Below are 21,688 nucleotides of genomic sequence, written 5' to 3'. Positions count from 1 at the left end.
ATTGGATACAGTGTACACTGCTCAGGTGATGGTGCACCAAAATCTCAGAAATCACCACTAAAGAACTTACTCGTATAACCAAACACCACCTGTTCCCCACAAATCTATTGAAATAAACAAGAATAACAATTTAAAAAAAAAGAATCACTGCTCTCAAGGTAGATATCAATTTGTTTAAGGCAAACAGTAGAAAATATGCCCTTCAGAAACTGCTGTAGGTCTGGGGTAGGCACATGATGTAATTTGGCCCAATTAGACTGAAAGAAACTCTGTTATGTTGTAGCTGGTGAAAGGTTTCACTAAAAAAGAAAAAATCTATTTTGCAGAATATTTCCATACAATCAGCATAACTCTCTACTCTAGGTATGGAATGTGCATAGTGACTTTATTCCAAATAGTATAGTATGGAAAGAGGGGGAACAAAGTAACTTCACAGTAGAGAAACCTGACAAACACTATGGCAGTCAGGTGATCAAGGTCAACATCAATAGCCACAAGTCATGTTGATAATATGTACCCTCGGTATGATGCGTGAGGGTGGCACTTTACCTCTGTGGTCTTCCTCCCGAACACATAATGCTAGTCCAACCATGAGAAAAATGTTAGACAAAATCCCAACTGAGAGACATTGTACAAGATACCTTACCAGTACTCTTTAATACTCCCAAGGTCATCAAAGACCAGAGGAGCCTGAGAAACTGTCATAGCCAAGAGGGAGACATGACAATTAAATGTAATGTGGTTTCCTGTATGGGATCATGGAACAGATAAGGGACATTAGGTAGAAACTAGGGAAATGTAGATAAAGTATGGATTTTAGCTAATAATAGTGTATCAATATTGGTTTATTAATTATAACAAATGTATTATACTAATGTAAGATGTTAATCTGTGTGTGAGGTGTACAAGAACTCTCTGTTTTATCCTTGCAATCTTTCTGTAAGTTAAAACCTATTCTAAAACAAAACATTTATTAAAAGAAAATATGCAGTCAGGATTCGGGGAGATTTAGGAAATGTTTCCCTGGACAATTTGTTTCCTTGTTATCTGATAAATGACAGCCCCCAGGGTAAATTTTGGTATGTATATGCCTCTGTCTGCACTTGAGGTCATTAGAGTAATAAGTGTATATATGGGGTTAATTCTGTGGGAAGTCCAAATTAGTAGTGGCATTGGTATATATAAAGTATTATTTTGTGTTGCTTATGTCAACTGTGTTGTCTATGAGGGACTAATACTTTGCAATTCATATTGATATCATTTCAGTGATTATATTTTACCTGTCACCATCAAAGTCTTTATTTACAGTAGATTAGCTAAAGCATAAAGAAAAGGGAGTTTATTTTAAAGAATAACGCATCGGCCGGGCACAGTGGCTCATGCCTGTAATGCCAGCACCTTGGGAGGCCAAGGCGAGCAGATCACAGGTCAGAAGATCGAGACCATCCTGGCTAGCACGGTGAAACCCCATCTCTACTAAAAATACAAAAAAAATTAGCCGGGCATGGTGGCGGGTGCCTGTAGTCCCCAGCTACTCGGGAGGCTGAGGCAGGAGAATGGCGTGAACCCAGGAGGCGGAGCTTGCAGTGAGCCGAGATCACGCCACTGCACTCCAGCCAGGGCGACAGAGCGAGACTCCATCTCAAAAAAAAAAAAAAAAAAAAAAAAAGAATAATGCATCTACCTGTGCTCCAAAAAAGGTGTGAATGAGCAGAGAGATTTCAGCTCCACTTTCTTTATTTGCATACATCTGAAACATGATATATAAATTGTTCCTAAAATAGAATAGTTGAGTCAAGAGAAATGATGGGAAAATTTATAGTCAGAAATTTACAGGATGGCTGCAAATTCCATGCAAGGTAGAATTAGCCCCACAATACTAGAGATGTATGTATTCAATTTAGAAATACAAAAATAAGGCCAGGCGTGGTGGCTCACACCTGTAATCCCAGCACTTTGGGAGGCTGAGGCAGGCAGATCACGAGGTCAGGAGATTGAGACCATCCTGGCTAACTCATGGTGAAACCCCGTCTCTAATAAAAATACAAAAAAATTAGCTGGGCATGGTGGTGAGTGCCTGTACTCCCAGCTTCTAGGGTGGCTGAGGCAGGAGAATTGCTTGAACCTGGGAGGCAGAGCTTGCAGTGAGCTGAGATCACACCACTGCACTCCAGCCTGGGCGACAGAGCGAGACTGGGTCTAAAAACAAAAAAAAAATACAAAAATAATCCTAGAGTCTATAAATACAAATACTTTAGTTGATTAGTTCATCACCAACTAAGATCACATTTTATATTATGCTTTGGCTTTTTACAAAAAGTAGGTAGTTTCTAAGCCCTATCTTGTAACTAGTGATTTAATTTGGTTAGAGCTGGAGGTTTTGCTTTAGTCATGAAAATTTCCACACAACTTAATCTGGTTATCTGCCTTTGCAAAGTTGTGGGGAAGGGAGATCGGCAGTGGTGGAGTGGCTGAAAACTGAGTCATCTTGACTGAATGTGGCGTGAAATTGCACGCAGGGGTTGCCTATTTCTGCTGGGCATCAGTCTACTAAGAAGTTGCTTCTCTAGGGTTGAGGTCAATGAAATACTACATATTCTCCAGTGAATTATTCTACGTATTTTCCAGCTCTATTATTATACTGCACATTCTCCAGTGTATTATTTTCTTTTGAATTAAAAGTCCTAGCAACTAAAGTTATATGATTTAAAAAGTTACCTAGATGCTAGGCATGGTGGCTCATACCTATAATCCCAGCACTTTGGGAGGCCAAGGTGGGAGTATTGCTTCAGGCGAGGAGTTCCAAACTAGATTGGGCAACATAGTGAGACCCCATTTCTATAAAAAATAAATAAATAAATAATTAGCTGGTTGTGATGGCTTGTGTCTGTAGTCCTAGATACTTGGGAGGCTGAGGCAGGAGGATCGCTTGAGTCCAGGAGCTCAAGGTTACAGTGAGCTACGATTGTGCCACTGTACTCCAGCCTGGGTGACAGAGCAAAACCCTGTCACCCTGTCTCTTTAAAAAAAAAAAAAAACTGGATTAGACTGTTGTGTTCTGATAAGGCGTGGGGCCACTAATTTCTTAATACCCAAAACATTAAAGAAATAGTGGCCTGCGTAAAGAGAGGAGGTTTACACTGTGATTGCCCTGCCTCTTTTTCTCCATGGCCAACCCTGTAAAAGGCACCTTTCTTAAGAAAGAATGAGTTTATTATGTGTGAGGTGCCATCAATATGACATCAATCATGTCTTGCAGAGCCACACTTTGACTGGGGTGGAGATGTGTACAAGCAGTTTTAGTTTGGGAGTTTAAGAACTTCCTGTAATATCTTCCTTTTGAGCTTTCTGTAACTCCCCTGAGACAGGCAAATGAAAGCAACTAGGGAGGATGAGATCTGAAGGAGTTTTCTTCAGTCTCTGCTTATAAAGTAACCAACCAGTTCTTACATATGACTGGTCAGATCCTCACTAGAAGCTGTTTGAGGCCCTGAGCTTGGTCATTAATTTCTCAGAAATCTGTGAAGCTTCAAGGTACACTTTATGGTGTTCCCTTTTTTTCTTCCAAAAAGAGACATTCACAGGATAACCTAAATTACCCAAACCTTTCTAAAGAAGGATGCTTCTGTATCTAGGCTTTGGTTTGGTAGCACCTGGTAAGACTTTGTTTATCATATCAAAATACCTTACTCACCTACCAGGCTTTCTTAATTGGCTCAAGAACTAACACCTTGCTGCTATAAATATCTGAGGGTGAATCAGAAGGTGTGTAGGCCATGTGTGCCTGAACCAACTTGTAGGAAATGGTGTGACTTCCCAAGGCCATCATCTTCTTTCATTTTATAGTCTGCTTTCATTAGAATACTTAGTTTTCAGTAATTCTTAGTTGAAAATAAAGAATGGGAGAATAAAATTTGTTATTTTAACAAATTTTGGGTGCCACTGACAACTTGGGTGGAGTGCCAACCCAGCCATGTGATGATATTTAAAATGCTCTATCAGCACTTGGGGCTCCAGACTACATGGCCACCCTGGAGACATCTGTGCTTATTCGGAAATGCCCTCAGATGCAGCTGTTGTGCGGCTACACACCCGTCGTCCAGAGTTTTTATATTTCCGTGCCAAGCCTTTAGCTGTGGAACCAACCTAACTGGCAAAACAGGAATGTAACAGACAATCCCTGTGATATGAGTCATATTAACTATTTATATGAAAGAAGTTGCTAAGACATTACAGGAAGCAAAGGCATGATGTACCCTGCTGTGACATGTTTTACTGAGTTAGCTAGGCTTATTTATAAATTGTAATCTACAACCTGCTCTCAGATAGGCAGTTCTAAGCTTTGGATTATAATCAAATCAAAGTTTAAGACTATTTTGGCTTTAGAGGTGACTCCATCAGTGCTTCTAGAGTTAAAAGTCAGCAGATAAAAACTTGACCAGTTGAAGACACATTTTCTCCTAGAGGAACTAACTGTTAGCTCTGTTTTTGCTTGGGAAAACAAGACTTTTCATTTTCAGTTTAATTCCTCAGGGAACATTCATCTCATCTTCAGCCAGATTCAGCTATCATCATAAAAAGGGAACTAATCAGTGAGGTCAGTCTTTGTTGTTTTAGCAAACTTTACCACCTGAGAAGATATTACATGTTAAACTTTCTAAGCATAATTTACTTGATGATTTCTGACAATGTTTTCAAATTGAGCAACCTTTCAGGGATTGGTATAACCTGTTCATGTCATTGAATCAATATACCACTCAAAGGCAAATGTGCAAATCTGCTAGATACCAAATAACAATGTAAGCAATGTTGATTTTTCTTTAGAAAGCATCAAAGAGCTCCACTCATTGATTCAACAATATATATTGAGCCCCCACTGTGTATCAGGCTAGGTACAGATATAAAAATGAGTAAAACATGGTCCCTGCCCCAGTGTAGTTACAGACTAGTATGTATGTATAGGGGAGGCAGGCACATAGACAGATAATTGTAATGCACTCTATAAGTGCAGTATTATTAAAATACTCAGAGGTAAAGCTTAAAGAAACCCTGATACTTCTAACTGAATGCCACAGTTTAATTTTAAGCAGGCAAAATCCCATTTTACTTTTACCAGTTGTCTGTAAGAAAACTGACTCCTGAAGTATTTGCCTCATGTTTCAGCTGTCTCCGACCTTATCCATTGTATGCTCTATTGTGTCTGAAAGCCTCACAGAGAATGACCATGGCTGACGGGTGCTCACTCTGTGCCTCACACTTAGTATTCTACCCACTCCTTGAGGTTGCGTACACCCTAGGATATTGTAAGCTAGATTTTTTTTTTATTTGATACAAAGTCTCTCTCACTGTCACCCAGGCTGGAGTGCAGTGGCGCGATCTCTGCTCACTGCAAGCTCTGCCTCCTGGGTTCACGCCATTCTCCTGCCTCAGCCTCCCAAGTAGCTGGGACTACAGGCGCCCACCACCACATTCTGCTAATTTTTTGTATTTTTAGTAGAGACGGGGTTTCACCATGTTAGCCAGGATGGTCTCGATGGTCCTGACCTTGTGATCCGTCTGCCTCAGCCTCCCAAAGTGATGGGATTACAGGCGTGAGCCACTGCCCCCGCCCATAAGCTAGATATTTTAACAAGTAGTATTTTCCTCCTATTTTCTTTCTTTTGTAACAGAGGTTAGCAAAATTTTCCTGTAAAGGGCTAGGTGGTAAATATTTGGGATTTCACCAGTCAAACCTCTATGGCACCTACTCAACTCTGCCCTTGTAGCAGGAAAGCGGACAACATCAATACATAAATGGGCACAGCTGTGTTCCAGTAACACTTTATTTACAAACCAGAGGGTGGGGCAGATTGGACCTGCAGGTTTGCCAACCGCTACTCTATTAGCAGTATTTTTTTAGTCTTGATGAACATTTAAAATTGGCTGAAGGGTAGGCTGTAAGAAGTAACAAGCATTAAACTTGGGGTCAGGGCACCTGCCTGAAGACCCCAAGGCCTGCTGGTTCTTCCATTTGCAGTTTTCATGTGATACAAGTCAGTGATCTCTTTCGGCCTTAGTCGTCTCTATAAAATGATGGCATTGGACAAAATGACTTCTAAGATGACTTTGACCACGGGCATGCTCTGTTTCTAAAAGACACAGGGGACTAAGTCTCAAAAAGTGAAATTTTAATCGGGAAAAGTATGGTCTAGTGTTAAGGCCTTTTTTTTTTTTTTTTTTTTTTTTGAGACGGAGTCCTGCTCTGTCGCCAGGCTGGAGTGCAGAGGCGCCATCTGCAACCTCTGACTCCCTGGTTCAAGTGATTCTCCTGCCTCAGCCTCTCGAGTAGCTGGGATTACAGGCATGCGCCACCACACCCAGCTAATTTTTTGTATTTTTAGTAGAGACGGGGTTTCACCATGTTGGCCAGGATGGTCTCAATCTCCTGACCTCGTGATCCGCCTGCCTCAGCTTCCCAAAGTGCTGGGATTACAGGCGTGAGCCATGGCACCCAGCCATATTAAGGCTTTTAAAAGATGCAGCTACATGCAGACAGGATGGGGGAGTCCTGGGTTAAAGCAGTTTAGATGAAAGGTTTCGGGCTTTAGCTGATGACTAGCACTTTGTAAGTCAACAAAGTAAAGTGGTTGCTCCAAAGGCAGGATAAGTTTAACCTGCATCGCCGGAGAAAAGTGTCGAGGAGTTTCTAAGCTCTGTGCTGAGAAGACCTCACCTGGAGTGTTACGATCAAGTCTTTAATGCCACCAGGGTAGAGAAGGAATTCTCACCCCTGCCCTGAGAGAAGGTTGAAGGAAGTGGCCATGCTCAGGAGTGGGAAAGGGAGAGAAGGAGGCTGGGACCAGGAGATGGAAACTGCTAAACCTAAAGTTCCAATGGAAAATGACTTTGAAAACGTTTTATATCTTCAGGATCTAGATTAGCACCCCATATGTAATCAGCACACAGACTTTTGTTGAAAGAAAGCTTCTGAGTATGTAAAGAATGTTCAAGTGGAAGAAATATTCTATTTGTTCCTGGCGGCGTCACAGGCCAGAAGTAGGTCAGCGGGAGGAAGCCGCAAAGGCTGCCTTCGTCACAGCATAAGGAGGGACAGGTAGTCTGTGCATCCCTGCATGGAGGAGGCAGCCAGGGTACTGCTTTGGGAGTCCTCAGAGTAACCTGAGGGTAGTCCCACCGATCCTGGGAGCCACCTGTTAGCATGTTATATTCAGCTGCCCCAGAGGGCAGGTCCATTGTGTCACCTACAGCCTCTTTGGCTCTGGGAGTCTGCTGTTTGCATTTTTCTTTACATATAGGTTCCCTGTCAGCACAGTATGGGTGTGAGGATTTTTAATACCACTGGTGATGTGTTAAATGATTTTAGCTACTACAAAGACTGACTTTTTTATTTTAATATTCATGTATTCATTTTAAGGTACATTGGGAAACAATAGAGCTAGCACATCAAAACTTTATAAAGATTGTGTAAGACAAAGTTCTATTAAAAAGCAAATAGATTTAAAGTTGATTTAATGAAAAATATTAATAATGGTACATATATATTCAGATATAACAAAAATTGGGAAAGTAGTATGAATAATTGAAGTCTGTTCTGTGTAAACCATTTTTATTTATCTTCTGCCTATAGGATCCTTTTTGTTGCTGCTGTTCTTTCTCCATCACCTGGGCTGGAGTGCAGTGGCGTGATCATAGCTCACGCAGCCTCAAACTCTTGGGCTCAAGAGATGCTCCTGCCTCAGCCTCCCAAGTAGCTGGGACTACTGGCACATGCCACCACACCTGGCTAATTTTTTCTTATTTTTTGTAGAGACGGGGGTCTCACTGTGTCACTCTCTCAAACTCCTTGCCCAGGCTTATCTCAAACTCCTTGACTCAATGGATCTTCCCGCCTTGGCTTCCCAAAGTGCTGGGATTACAGGCATGAGCCAACATGCCCTGCCTAGGATCTGTTTTTTCCTCCTTCACACAATCCTATCACTGAACAAGACTCAGATTTTTTTTTCATTAAAAAAATGCAATGATGCCCACAAAAAAAAAATTCAAAAAGAAGAAAAAATAAGATAGAGGGAGAAAAGAGGAAGAAGGAGAAGAAAAGTCTTTCACAATCCCTCCTCCACCCCAGCTTCTCAGTTGCCTTCATTCCCTTTTCAGCATTCCTTCCCTATCTTTGAGCCCACGTGTATACTTTTTATCATAGGGTCGATGTACTTTATATTTTTCATTTTAAATTTAGCACATCACATTGCTTTACTGCAAACTCCTCCTTACTTTGCATTTTTTACTCTCGTCATTTTTGGCCACTTGTCATTCCTCAGACCTAACACAATCTTTTCTTACACTTCAGTTTGACCCTGACATCTTTGTAAGTAAAGTAGAATTTATACTGTAGCTCAGGTGTTAGAGTTTCAGCCTCTTTCTCCAAATGCCTTCCTTAGGAAGCTTTAGGCACCCTCATTTTTCTTGTCTGTAATTTTCCTTTGTGTTTTATCATTTAAAACATTTGCACCTTATCACTCCATTTTTTGCTACTGAGCTCCCTAATGGGACTTGTATCTGTAATGTCTTAATCTTGAATTCATGGAAGTATCTTTCTTCTCCCATTTAAAAATATTTCAGATATCCATGAGGACTCCATGTCCTGTGAGCATATGTAACTGATTCCCCCTGGTTTTACCCTGTTTAAATAAAGCTTTCTCGTTGTGCTCCCTTTTTGTATAAGCTTGCTCCTGACATTCGAAAGATTTACCTCTTTATACATGTTTACATAATCAAAATATTAGCATATTGCCTATTGTATGTATTAGAATGTTGCCTATTGTATGCCTGTTGTATGATGTGTGGCTTAGTTTTAGGTATGCTCCACATAAATGTCCATTTTACTAATCTGGGTCAAGACACAATGAGATCAGAAACTATGATCATTCAGTTTGTTTTGGACAGCTCTGGCATGTGGACAATTAGATTTGTAATGAGCATCCTATGGAAACTTGAGCTCTGGAGAAAAACTGCCCAATATCTAGAAAAAAAGTAACAGATTATTCTTTTTGTGGATTTTTGTTACAGGCTGGATTACAGTGGGCCTTCTAGAGAGTTTTTCTTCCTGGTATCCAGAGAACTCTTTAACCCATATTATGGCTTATTTGAATATTCAGCCAATGACACATACACAGTACAAATAAGTCCTATGTCTGCTTTTGTAGACAATCACCATGAATGGTAAGTATTTTTTCCCCAACACTTTTCTTCAGGCGATTTCCTATGATATTAGTTTTTTTATAGAACCCACATTTAAACATTAAAACATTTTTTCCCTTGGGCAAAGTCATATTTTCAGTTAAATACCTCATTTGACTCTTGTTTTTATTGTCAAATTTAAATATATAGGCAGTCTCCAAGCTAGGACTAGATCTGTTGATAGCTGGGAATTGATCTGCTCCATAAGATCAATTTAAGTGAGTTGGGTAGAATTCAAAAGGTATTTCCCATTGCAAGAAAGAGATGATGCGTTCCTGGTGAGATCCCTATATTCCTCTCTGTACCTTTGGGTGCCTATGAGCTCTAAGCTGAGGTGGGGATGAGGAGGGGAAGGGCCTGACCCAGAGATCAGACAGCTTCTAGAGCAGCCCTTGGGGCAGTGGCTGCCATGGGAGGAGGAGACAGGGCAGCTGGAACTCTGGCTGGGGCTCTGACTCTCAACTCTGGTAATGATGGTGCTCTAGTGGGCAGTGGGGCTGGTGTAGTGACCTGGGGGCATTGATGGTAGAAGGGCAGGAGTGGGGAGTCACAAGCAGTGGCCACTTACCGTATTAGCCATTTGAAGTTTGTAACCAGGTGTTGCCTCCCTCTTTCCTAATTTCTCACACAAAATCAAGGAAACTGATTTAGGATTCCCATCTGAAGATTATTTATGCTGAAAATCCCAAATTGCACTCTTTCCAAATGTCCTTACATCTTTTTTAAATCTCTGCATTTATACACTTCAAATATTTGTATAACCCCTGTTTGCTTGTTCCTGTTCATTTTCCCTGACAGCAACAAAGGAAAGAATATGAGCAGGATTCATGGAAAAAGCTTATTTGAATCATGAGATTAATATTGTTGGGTGGAGGGCGTTATCTTTTAGGACTTACTCTTCAAATTAACTTCTGTTTAGCTGCAATTTGAAGTCCTTCTTCTGTGACTATTACAGTTGTGCTAAATAAATGGAAATAAAGAGGAACCATACTGCTGGACATTGTTCTTAAAATGGCTGCCCAATACTAAAATTACAAACTTACTGTACGAATCTCAGTATGGATTTATACTTTTGGAAGGCATCAGACTTTCAAAGAGCTAGAAACTTGAATCCTTTTGAAAGAGAAAGTAAGTTTACATCTCAGGCAGCAAATCCAGTCATAACAAATATATTTAATAAAATTTCCAAAGTGATTCAGAATAGAATTGAGCCTTGAAATTTTAGAGAACAGAATGTCCCAGAAGGAAACTCCCCCAAATGTCCATGTGCACAATTCTTGAATGGTGAAAATATCAGGAATGGGTCTTGAGAGAGAATAGGGATAGGAACTTTCTTGATCTGAGACTGGGCCTTTCCTCAGAAAGGAATTGCTACTGAGTTTGTATTGAGAAATTCTGCTAATATTCATGCATACACACTAGGAGGGAATAGCATTTTCCCCACCTCCAGAGGTCTCATCTGTCAACATCTCTTAGAAGTGGTTTGGGGAAATGTCACTGAAATGCTCACAGGGGATTCATGAATGTGGGGTGCTACATTGTTGATATGCAGTGAAGGTGGAGCAGGGTCTCTAAATATGAGTGAAACTGATTCTTCAACAAGTAGGTATGAATTACTGGCTGTTTTAGCCCATTCTTGCATTGCTATAAAGAAATACCTGAGACTGGTAATTTATAAAGAAAAGAAGTTTAATTGGCTCATGATTCTGCAGGCTGTACAGGAAGCATAGCACCCAAATCACTGGGCTTTGGGGATGGTCTCAGGGAGCTTTTTCAATCATGGTGGAAGGCAAAGGGGAAGCAGGCACATCATATGACAAAAGCAGGAGGGAGAGAGAGAGAGAGTGTGTGTGTGTGTTGGAGGGAGGTGCCACACTTTTATATGACCAGATTTCATGAGAACTCACTATCATGAAGATAGCACCAAGCCATAAGGGATCAGCCTCCATGATCCAAACACCTCCCACCAGGCCCCACCCCCAGCAATGGGGATTGCAATTCAACATGACATTTGGGCAGGGACAAGTATACAAACTGTACCACTGGCCTGATGAAGACACAGCCCATGGTGCCTACAAATTCTCACTACCTAGTAGGCAATTAATATTGGAAAAATTTAGATGGTTAGCGCTGGAAGGCATTCTAGAAAGCATATGGAACCACCTAGAAACTGCTCCATGACATGTAAGCCATCTCATGTGTTTCCTTCACAGGTTCCGATTCAGTGGTAGGATCCTTGGTCTTGCACTAATACACCAGTATTTGTTGGATGCCTTCTTCACACGGCCCTTTTATAAGGCTCTTCTCAGAATGTAAGAATATTTTTATTGCCTGCATAATTAGCATGTAAAATGCAGTATTTACTTTTTTGAAAAAATTCTTCTGTCAAAGTCATTGTTTATCTGTTCACAATCTCAAATTTGTTGTTATTAAACCTAATAGTGGTTTAGATTTCTGAAACTAATGCAATTTCAAATATGATTACTGTGTTTTTCCTGCCTCTGACCTATTTAGCCCCCAGATTTTTAGTTTTGCTCTACCCCCCAAAATTTATTCTCATTTGTTGCAGCATGTGTTTCTTTAAAACAATTGTACTTCAAACACAGCCCTGGGATTCCTGTGGTATTAATGCAGATTATTAATAGAATTGTTGTGGGTTAGTCTTAGTGACTCACAGCCCCCCTCTCCTTTATGAGACACATTTTATATTTGGCTTGATGCATATTTTCAAATGCTTACTCCTCGTTCAAATCTTCATTTTCCTTTGTTTTGGTTTTGTTTTTTATTTGTTTGTCAAGGGTGGACAGTGCCATATGTTTCTTAAACTTTCTCTATGCCCTTAGTAATTTATTATGGAAAATGAAAATTCAGCATTCACAGAACTTTTTCTTCATTGTTAATGAAAGATTGCAGTTATTGTAAAATGTAGGGCTAATTGTTTCTGTCCTATAATCAGCAGCCATTTACAAGGCTGAACAGAAGACAACTGTCTGTGGGATAGTAGCTCAAATTTGCGATGAGAATGCACTGAATTATCACTTGGCTCTGTCCAGCTCATACCCTAACTGAGGCCACGCACTTGCTTACTGTAAAATGGAAGCCTAGACCTCAAATGAAAGCAAACAAAATGCTTCTTGTGGGCCCTTGGGAGGGTCAGTAGAAAGACTTTTGCCTTCTTCTCTTTCAGTGTCTTCACAGCTGTAGCACTGGGGAACAGGTGCCGTTTTCTGTCTCTTTGGTTCTTTGTGGCCCACTTTGCATCTTCCCATTTCATTGCCTTATCTCTTATCTTCTCATTTAAGCTTCCTGAAAAACTAGTCTATACTGACTGTCTACACTTACCTCAAATTCACACCCTAAGCACACTTCAGCCTGGTTTCTTTCCCACCAGAAAACCTGTGGAGGCATTTAAAGAATACTGATTAGTCCGTATCTTATTGGATCATGCTGCTGCTTCTGACACTGTGCACCACCCACACCCGCCACCATTTATTCCTGTGTCTTTCCTTCAGAGCTGGCATCTATGACACTGTACTTTGCGGGTTCTTTTTTTTAACTTTTCTGTCCCTTCATGAGTCCCTCTTCTGATTTGCCCTTAAGTCTTGGTGTACCTGAAGCTTCTATCACCAGGCCCCTCGTTTTCTCACTCAGTGTGCTCTCATGGGGGAATTTCTTCTCCTGTCTTATCTCCTCTGACTCCCAAATCTGTACTCTCAGTCATGATCTCCCTTAAGGTGTAGCCTCACATGGTCAACAGTCCACCAAATATCTCCACTCGGATGTCTTACAAGGATCTCAGAATCAACATGGTTAAGACTAAGCTCATCAAGTTTCCCTACGTAAAAGTATACCTTCTCCCATATGCCCAGTTACAGTTAATAGTGCCACTATTCTCAGGCCACTCTGGTCAGAAATTGGGAGTCACCCTTAAACAGCGATGACAAATACACACGGTACATGTTCTACTCTTCCCCATCTCTACTCTACCCCATCATTCCCAGGGTAGAGTTCACAAATCACCTGTGGTACTTTTTCCCACTGAACTCACTGTGGCCTCAGAAATCTTTTTAACTTATAGTGCTCAAGCCCAGCAATTAATTACAGTTAGTTTTGACATGAGTTCGTTTGTCACCCCTGTTTTAGATATCCTTCTTTATACTCCCCCAATAAAACCATTTCCTGATTGCTACATGTTTGCCTCCTAAATGATTTTCAAATTCATCTTCTTCTCTCCAACCTTAATAGCACAGCCCTAGTTAGAGCCCTTATCTTATTTTGGCCATATTACTGTAGTGGTCTATTCATTGGTCTCTACCCTCTAATGATAACCACCCCTCATCCCACCCCATTTTAAATAATCCTTCACACTGGGACTTCCAGAGGAGCTGTTTATAATTCACATTTCACGTCTGATCATGTCATGCCCTGTCTTAAAATCTTTTGGTAGTTCTGAATCACCAATCTCCTTAGGATGATATTAAGGCCTGCTCCCTTGCTGGCCTCATTCTCTAGAAATTCTGTCTTAAGGTTAACTCTCTCAAACTGCTGATATGCTTGGAGTTTCCTGTACACATCCATGCCTTGTATTTTGTTCATGTTATTCTCTCTTTCTCCTTTCTCTTTCCCCTTCTCCTCCTTCATGTATTCCTTTTTACGTCTCTTGCTTTTAAACATCCTGAAAGATTTAATGTAGGCATCATCTTCTGCAAAAAGCTTTTCCTGAATCTCTCAGTCAAAGAAAAGGCCCCTCATGTGTGCTCTGACACCTAAATCCCTATCCCTACCTTATCTTTTCTTAAATTGAAGTGTGACATAGATTTTAAAAGTACATGAATTTTAAGTGTTACCAATCTTATGTTATCACTTATCGCTTTATATTAACTTATCTGTTTGTGTACTTGGCTCCCCAACTAGCCCATTAGCTCCTGGGGGTAGTGACTATTCATCAAGTAGCTATTCAGATGTCTGGTACATGCTTGATGCCTAATGAATGTTCAGATTGAACTGAAAAAAAATGACCCTTAAAATTGGGTTAAGGGGAGTGAAATTTCAAAACAGCTATAGCAAATCAATGACTACCACTGTACAACTGGGCCATGGAACAGTAACTTACCTCATGTCGATTCTTTCTCTACAATTAAAAAAAGTGGGGGAAAAATACAGATTGACGGCAGGTTCTGTGGCTTACTATTTTCAGAATAAGAACCATGAAGAAAAAGGGAATGTATGTGAAGATGAATCATGTCTTTAATAAAAAATAAAATAAAATAAATATTAAAATAAAAATCATGTCTTTCAATTAAAAAAAGTTAAAATATAGAAATATATAAATAATTTCAAATTAAGATAACAGTATTTTAAGGTAGTATAATATGGCCAGAAAGAATAATGGATCCAAGTTGTCAACCCGAGTGCCAGTTCCTGATCTGGCATTGATGATGGATGACTGCGCAGATGGCACTCATTCTTTGCACCTCCAGTTCTGTGTCTATAAAGGAAGACGCAGGCTGAATGATTCCTGTGGCATATTATATATTTAGGACTTTCTAATTTTATAACAAATTTCTGAATTATTTCACTGGTTTGGTTTAATTACTGGACTTGGACTAAGAACATTCCAGAAATCACTGCCTATGTAGTGGCTCTTATTCTTCTCTTTAATTCTTAGTTTCTTTCCTTATGACTCTGGGTTTTTGCTAATAGCCATGCCTACATATTTGTTTCTGTCTGTTTGTCATCTTAGTCTATGTGACCTGAGTGACCTAGAATACCTTGATGAAGAGTTCCATCAGAGCCTGCAGTGGATGAAAGACAATGATATCCATGACATCCTAGACCTCACGTTCACTGTGAACGAAGAAGTATTTGGGCAGGTGTGTGTATCTGCACACCTGGCGCCTAAGTGTGGTAACTGAAGGCTATTGATGAGTGAAGAATTAACTCCATGGCTAAGATCAGATGCTTATTTATTCGTGGTTTATTGGGTGATTTAAACTCAGGATCACACACAGTTATAATAACCGCAGTTATAAAGATTAGAATTAATGTCAGCTGCAGATTAAGATGCTGTAAATTACAGATGGTGATAACTGTTTATGTTGTAAGCAATCTTCTTTTTATTTCCAACTAAAATATCCCCCAAAATATGAGAATTTACCTTATATAGAATGCAGTTTTTTAAAGTCCACACTACAGAATTTTTTAATTGGCATTTATAGAATGGTGGCTGGGCACGGTGGCTCATGCCTGTAATCCCAGCACTTTGGGAGGCCAAGGCAGGAGGATCAGTTGAGCCTAGAAGTTCAGGACCAGCCTAGGCAACATGGTGAAACCCTATCTCTACAAAAAATACAAAAATTAGCCAGGTGTGGTGGCACATACCTGTAGTCCCAGCTACTCAGGAGGCCAAGGTGGGAGGGTCACCTGAGCTGGAGAGGTTGAGGCTGCAGTGAGCCTGGATCATGCCACTGCACTCTAGCCTGGGGGACGAGAGTGAGACCCTGTCTCAAAAAAGAAAAGAAAAATAAAGAGAACCAAAATTGATTTTTTTGAAGCTAAGGGAACATAAACAATGTTTTGGGGAAGACTTAAGAACAGAATATATTAATTTTTTTTTCAAAATTGGTGGAAGAGTAGGGAAAACGTTTCTTCCAGAAATTATATACCAGTTTATAATTAATATTCTTATTTAGGCATTAATCTTTAGCTGCTTTTCTGCATTCCATGTGTTTTGAAAAAGTTCTCAATTTAACATTCACTTGAGTGTAATTCTGCTTTAAAGTAAATCTTTACGCTAGATATAGTCAATTCTGAGAAATTTGTGAAAATGGGTTTTGTCAAACATTCAAATAGTAGCAGGCTAGTATCTGAAGCCGATTCATCGGCATTTTAAAACTTAACCTGTAGTAACAGCAATACATATATATACTTTAATCACCAAAGCTTTCAAGCACCCCCTCAATGCCTATTTTTTCCTGAGTGTGTGTGCTCCGTGAGTGCCTGGGGCCTCACTGCCAGCTTGTGGGATGTGCCTAGGGCAGGGCTGGGACAGGTAGCTGGCTGATTTCAGCTCAATGCTAGTAATGTTGTTATAACATTAAGAGTATTGCTTTGTAGTCATTCTTTTTATTTTGTAATCTCAGATAACTGAACGAGAATTAAAGCCAGGGGGTGCCAATATCCCAGTTACAGAGAAGAACAAGAAGGAGTACATCGAGAGGATGGTGAAGTGGAGGATTGAGAGGGGTGTTGTACAGCAAACAGAGAGCTTAGTGCGTGGCTTCTATGAGGTAAAGACAATCAGCAGTAGGAGGAGTTTGCAGTCTGATATCAATGATGCCACAGTCCATCTTATTGTACTTTACATGTGTAGACTATTTCTGCTGTATTTACTGTTGCTCTTTCCATGCGAAAAGTTCAGTATTTTTTCCCTTATGTTTCAAGAGCACCAAAAGAAGCTTAACTCACTGTTACGAGAGATCACTGAAATAAATGTTATGGACTGCATTCAAGTAGCATTTGTTGATTTAATGACCACTAGTAACATTTAAGCCATGCATCTTATGCTTAGATATGGGTAATCAAATCTCATGCTTGCTATGTGAAATAATTATATCTGAGATCAGAATGAGTTGGCATGTATTGTATGTGACTTTTTCTGTAGAAACACTAGATAGTTTCCTAAAGGTGGACGGGACCTAGATTAATCAGCAATCAATTATAAAACAAAAATTCTGTCAAGGCAAATCTCATCAACCTTATACTAAAGAATGCCTTATATTTGTAGGGAGCTTTACAGGTTTTCAAGTGCCAACACAAGGTACACACATATTATTCCTGAAACTCCATGTGTCCCCTTTTCTAAGGCTTAATTATAGCTGATATTTCTCCAGGCTCCTAAGCCATGCCTTGTACTCTTTTTATTCCACAGGTGGTGGATGCCAGGCTGGTATCTGTTTTTGATGCAAGAGAACTGGAATTGGTCATCGCAGGCACAGCTGAAATAGACCTAAGTGATTGGAGAAACAACACAGAATATAGAGGAGGTGAAATTTGATTTATAGATGGCTAGATTTTAAATTTCAAATTAAAGGAAGGCATGGTTCAGCTTGCCAACTGAATATAGGACAGGCAACAGCACTTGGACTCTAATCATAGGTCTGATGCAGGCTCCCTTGAGACCTTGGGCAAGGTACATTCTCTTCTTTTCCTAATTACCTCATCTGTCAGATGGGAGAAGGACTGTTTACACACCGTCAAAGGATGTCATAACTCTTAATTGTTGGTGAGGAAATGTGACCGTAAGAACACTAATTAATTACTTTATCGTGTTGTCAGTGAAGCACCAAGGAGCTAACATCCAGCTGGTCAAACTCCACCTATTCCATTTTGTTTCTAAAACTTAGAAAAGCACACCCTTTGAGCTTCCCAATCAGCACAGTTTTTCCACTGTTCACTACGCTCCTTATCAGTTGTAATTCATAGTCAGAACACTTGAATGGAATAAGACACAGTTCCCAAAATACAACATTATTGGAGAAGTTCTAAATTCAAGCATGAATTTCAAGTGAAAAGAAGACTGTAGTAAGATTAATTAAAAACTGCACTATCTGACACTTCACAAAATGGGAAGCTAAAAAAGTGACACTTCTGCAGATCAGTACAAATTATTGATTAGTAACTGGGACCAAAGCCATTGAAATTTGAGTGTTAAACCAACACTTTGCAAGGGACCTGGTGGTAACCCAGAGTTAAGGTTTTATTAAATAATTTTAAGCAAAGAATACATTTTCTGAAAATTATCACCATGTTAGGAAGCCTTCAGAAATTCATGACAAATACCAGTTGTTTTCTCCTTTGGGTTTTGTTTTTTAACTCAAAGTATAAGAGATTAGAAGTAGTTCTGAACTTGGAGAATGAAAACTACAAACCTAACATCACTGAATTAATCACTTAGCAGAGTAAATTGAGAGCTGAACAGTTCTCTAGTTATCTCTAAGTTGAAGCAGAGATTTTTTTTAAAAAAGGTAGTTTTAAAAGTTTGTAGTAAAAAAATGCCTTAACATTTGCTAAATTGCTTTTGGTTATGCCTGTGCTTGCCTGTTCCAGCTCATCCCTGCACCATGGGCTGGCCTTGCTCACACATTTAATCTGAAAGGCTGTATTTAATTGCAGTTTCCATTGCTTCTATTTCTGAAGTCCAATTGCTGAAATAAGTATTTTCCAGTTGGCCCAAGTATAATCCATGTATCTCTTTGGTTATTATAATGTTGTTAACCCATCGATTTTTACTGAGAGCACAATTTCTCTGACATGCTACATAAGTTATATTTTACCATAAATATTATTAGCTCATTCTTTCCTTCCAGGAGATGAATTTTTTTTTTCAGACAGAGGGTGTATGCCACCATACCTGGCTAATTTTTGTATTTTTAGTAGAGATGGGGTTTCACCATGTTGGCCAGTCTGGTCTCGAATTCCTGGCCTCAAGCGATCTCCTGCCTTGGCCTCCCAAAGTGCTGGGATTACATGTGTAAGCCACCACGCCCGGACCCAGGAGATTCTAATAGCAATGCATTAATAGAATCAGCCATTTTTGTATTTTCATGGCATAAAATTTTATTCACTAAATCTGACTAATCAAGGACCTATTTATATGGTTATTGTAAATCTTATCAAATGAAATCTTTGGGAGGGGGAAGAAAAATGCTGAGAACCTCAGCTGCCATGTTTGCTCACCCAGCTACTTGGCACTGAGTAAAGAAGCGGCTGTGTGGCTGCCACCTGCCATATGTTCACACCCCAGCTGCTAGGAGAGAATATGATGAGACACATTCACTCTTCTTCCTCCAAAAGGTTTGGCACAAATAGCAAAAGGGAAGCAGAAAAGGGCTAATTCATAAGGTCAAAAAACTTTAAAGCTACAAAGAGCCAGTGCACTTCTTTTGTAGATGAGAAACTTTGCTCAGTACCAAATTGCTAGTCTTCACCAAACTCTGGGCATGGCCCATGTGTCCTCATGTTCAATCCAGTTTTGATCAGCCTTCTCTTTGATCCTTTTTTTCTCCAAAGGGGACTAAACATCACTGAAATGGTAAACAGTAAGGTGAGATTCCTCCCAAATCCTACAACTACTGAAATGTGAGGAAAAATTTGGATTAAAATAATTTCTACCCGCCTTCTATTCTGGACTACTAACTCAGTGCCCATTAACTATGTCTATTCATTGGTTTGAATCACTAAATCCTTGTTAGCCTTTTCTCTGAATTTAATTTTTGTTTTCACTGAAAGGTTTTTGGAATCCATCATCACTGCCCATGAGGTGATTCCTTTGACATTTTCTTAAATTCTACTAAAGTATGGAATAAGAGTAAAATTAAGTTGGTGATTACTCAGGATTTATTTAAGGAACTAAAGGTCACTTTTCCCTTTTTATTAGTAAGTCAATGTGAAACTAAGTTGATTTTAAAGTATGAATATTATATATAGCTTTTAAGAGAGCTTGCAGTTATGTATTTGTTTGTATAAATTATTTGATTAATGTGTCTCCCCTCTGCCAGAAGCCCTGGGAGGGTCTGTTTTCTTTGCCATTATGCCCCCAACCTTGGTACAGTGCTTGGCATAGAGGTATTTGAAAATTATTTCTTATGTGAATGACCGAAAGAGTTAAGTATTTCCAGTAACAACTGTTGTATTTTACAGAAATGATATGGTTAAAATAACTCATTTGTTGTTCTTCTCTTTACTAGTTTCACTTAGTGACCGTTAAATGAAAACAGAGACCTCTTGGTTTCACTTAATGTTGTTTTTGTTTAACTTTTGACATTCATATGATCATATATACAGTGTTATTCCTTAGTCTTAAAATTATAGACAACTTGTAAAGAATTCAAGAGGATGATTTATGTCTGGGGACTCTTCGTGTCACGTATCTTGGTGGCTTAATATAGAAGAGTCAAAGTAACATGGGCTTTTATGATTGGTTTGATAGGATACCATGACAATCATATTGTAATTCGGTGGTTCTGGGCTGCAGTGGAAAGATTCAACAATGAACAACGACTAAGGTTGTTACAGGTGAGATGCCATTATTTAATCTTTTAAATGTATCAATATGATTATTGTTGGAAGTGTATGTTTTTAATAACTGCTAACTATTCTCCATAAACACATACCATGTGTATCTGGAAATATGAGATACACCATTTCCAGACTCCTGATTGCATGGTTATGTGACTCCATGGCTATTCAGAACTTCCCTAAGCCAACTTAAAGCATTTCATGAGAGTTTAGGGAAGTGTCAAGTCCAGTCCAAGAATCCCAGTAACAACATCTGCCTTCAGGACAGCTTGGACCCTTCAGCAAGAAGCACCCAGGGTACCCAAAGTGCAGGCCGGCATCCCTAGCAGCAGAAAGAAATGATTTTAAGTTCTTTAAAAAGGGATGCAGTTAGTTGACAGTCCTTTCTTCTCTTTCATCTAACTTTCCACAAATTTGAGAAAACAGTGACATTCAAGAACAGTGGGAAAACTAACTTGTGTTTTTTTTTTTTTTGCGTGTGGTGTTTATGGTCATCCAGGACAATTACTGATCAGTTGCAGCTATAGAAATACCAGACACAAGGAAGTCTCTGGATGCTCAGGCAGAGCCTTACAAGTACTCTTAGCTCCTTTGGATCTTAGCTCCTTTGGATTAAGGGTCTGGGCCTCAAAATTGCAGGCCCAGACATTCTCTTTTTTAAATTCACCCGACATTGATCAAGGACTGATGCTAAGTTGACTCGGGTTAATTGATCCCACTTTATTCATCTATAGTGGGAAATGTGCCCGGTTTAAGCTTCTGAGCTGGTCAGCTGCATCAGGTGCTTTATTTTCTACAAACCCTCCACATCCCCTTTCCCTTTATCATGCACAGTATTCTCTTTCTTAGTATTATCTTCTGGCTCTGTGTCAGAATTGTGTTGTGATTATTCCACACCTGTGAAGTTTTGTCTTCAGAACTTTCCTGCCTGCTCTTCCTCAGGAGCTCTGCCCGTGAATGACGTGATGCCTTTCCTGGCTGTTGGTCTCTGGCTTCACCTTCTCCTTCTGTTTTCTTGGGTTGACAGTTTGTTACAGGCACATCCAGCATTCCCTATGAAGGATTTGCTTCACTCCGAGGGAGTAACGGCCCAAGAAGATTCTGTGTGGAGAAATGGGGGAAAATCACTGCTCTTCCCAGGTAAAATATAAAATAACATTTCTTTACTGTCACAACATTTGGTGGAGACATTCATTTATGTATATATTGATTAATTACTGCTTTTATATTAAAAGTTTGGGAGAGCGGAAAAGCTCTTAGAATGAATTTCTCCCTGATAACCTTTCTAAACGAAGAGGAAAAAAGATCTCTCTGGTCACACTTAAAATACATACATCCATATCTTAAAATACAAAACACAACAAAAGCAAAGTAT

At 39.7% G+C, this 21,688-nt stretch overlaps 1 protein-coding gene across 12 annotated transcripts in view, besides 1 other annotated feature; it reads left to right on the top strand.

Annotated features, from left to right (window-relative positions):
- HECW2 (HECT, C2 and WW domain containing E3 ubiquitin protein ligase 2) overlaps positions 1–21,688 on the top strand; it is a 399,483-nt gene that overhangs the window by 356,237 nt on the left and 21,558 nt on the right. For all 12 annotated transcript variants that reach the window (NM_001348768.2, XM_006712646.4, XM_047445197.1 and 9 more), the window contains 7 exons: positions 9,064–9,216; positions 11,448–11,546; positions 14,978–15,107; positions 16,377–16,523; positions 17,165–17,279; positions 20,225–20,310; positions 21,341–21,453. In NM_001348768.2, coding sequence (NP_001335697.1) covers positions 9,064–9,216; positions 11,448–11,546; positions 14,978–15,107; positions 16,377–16,523; positions 17,165–17,279; positions 20,225–20,310; positions 21,341–21,453 — 843 coding nt within the window. The remainder of the gene's footprint in view (positions 1–9,063; positions 9,217–11,447; positions 11,547–14,977; positions 15,108–16,376; positions 16,524–17,164; positions 17,280–20,224; positions 20,311–21,340; positions 21,454–21,688) is intronic.
- Positions 17,566–17,766: a silencer, noted in NCBI's record as "peak4000 fragment used in MPRA reporter construct". NCBI's record gives its function as "represses an SCP1 promoter by STARR-seq MPRAs in K562 erythroleukemia cells {active_cell/tissue: K562}" and the evidence as "EXISTENCE:reporter gene assay evidence [ECO:0000049][PMID:32103011]".

Source organism: Homo sapiens, chromosome 2 (assembly GCF_000001405.40).
Source record: "Homo sapiens chromosome 2, GRCh38.p14 Primary Assembly".
NCBI classification, from domain to species: domain Eukaryota; kingdom Metazoa; phylum Chordata; class Mammalia; order Primates; family Hominidae; genus Homo; species Homo sapiens.
Note: the sequence above shows the minus strand (reverse complement) of the source record. Positions and strands in the feature narration are given on the sequence as shown.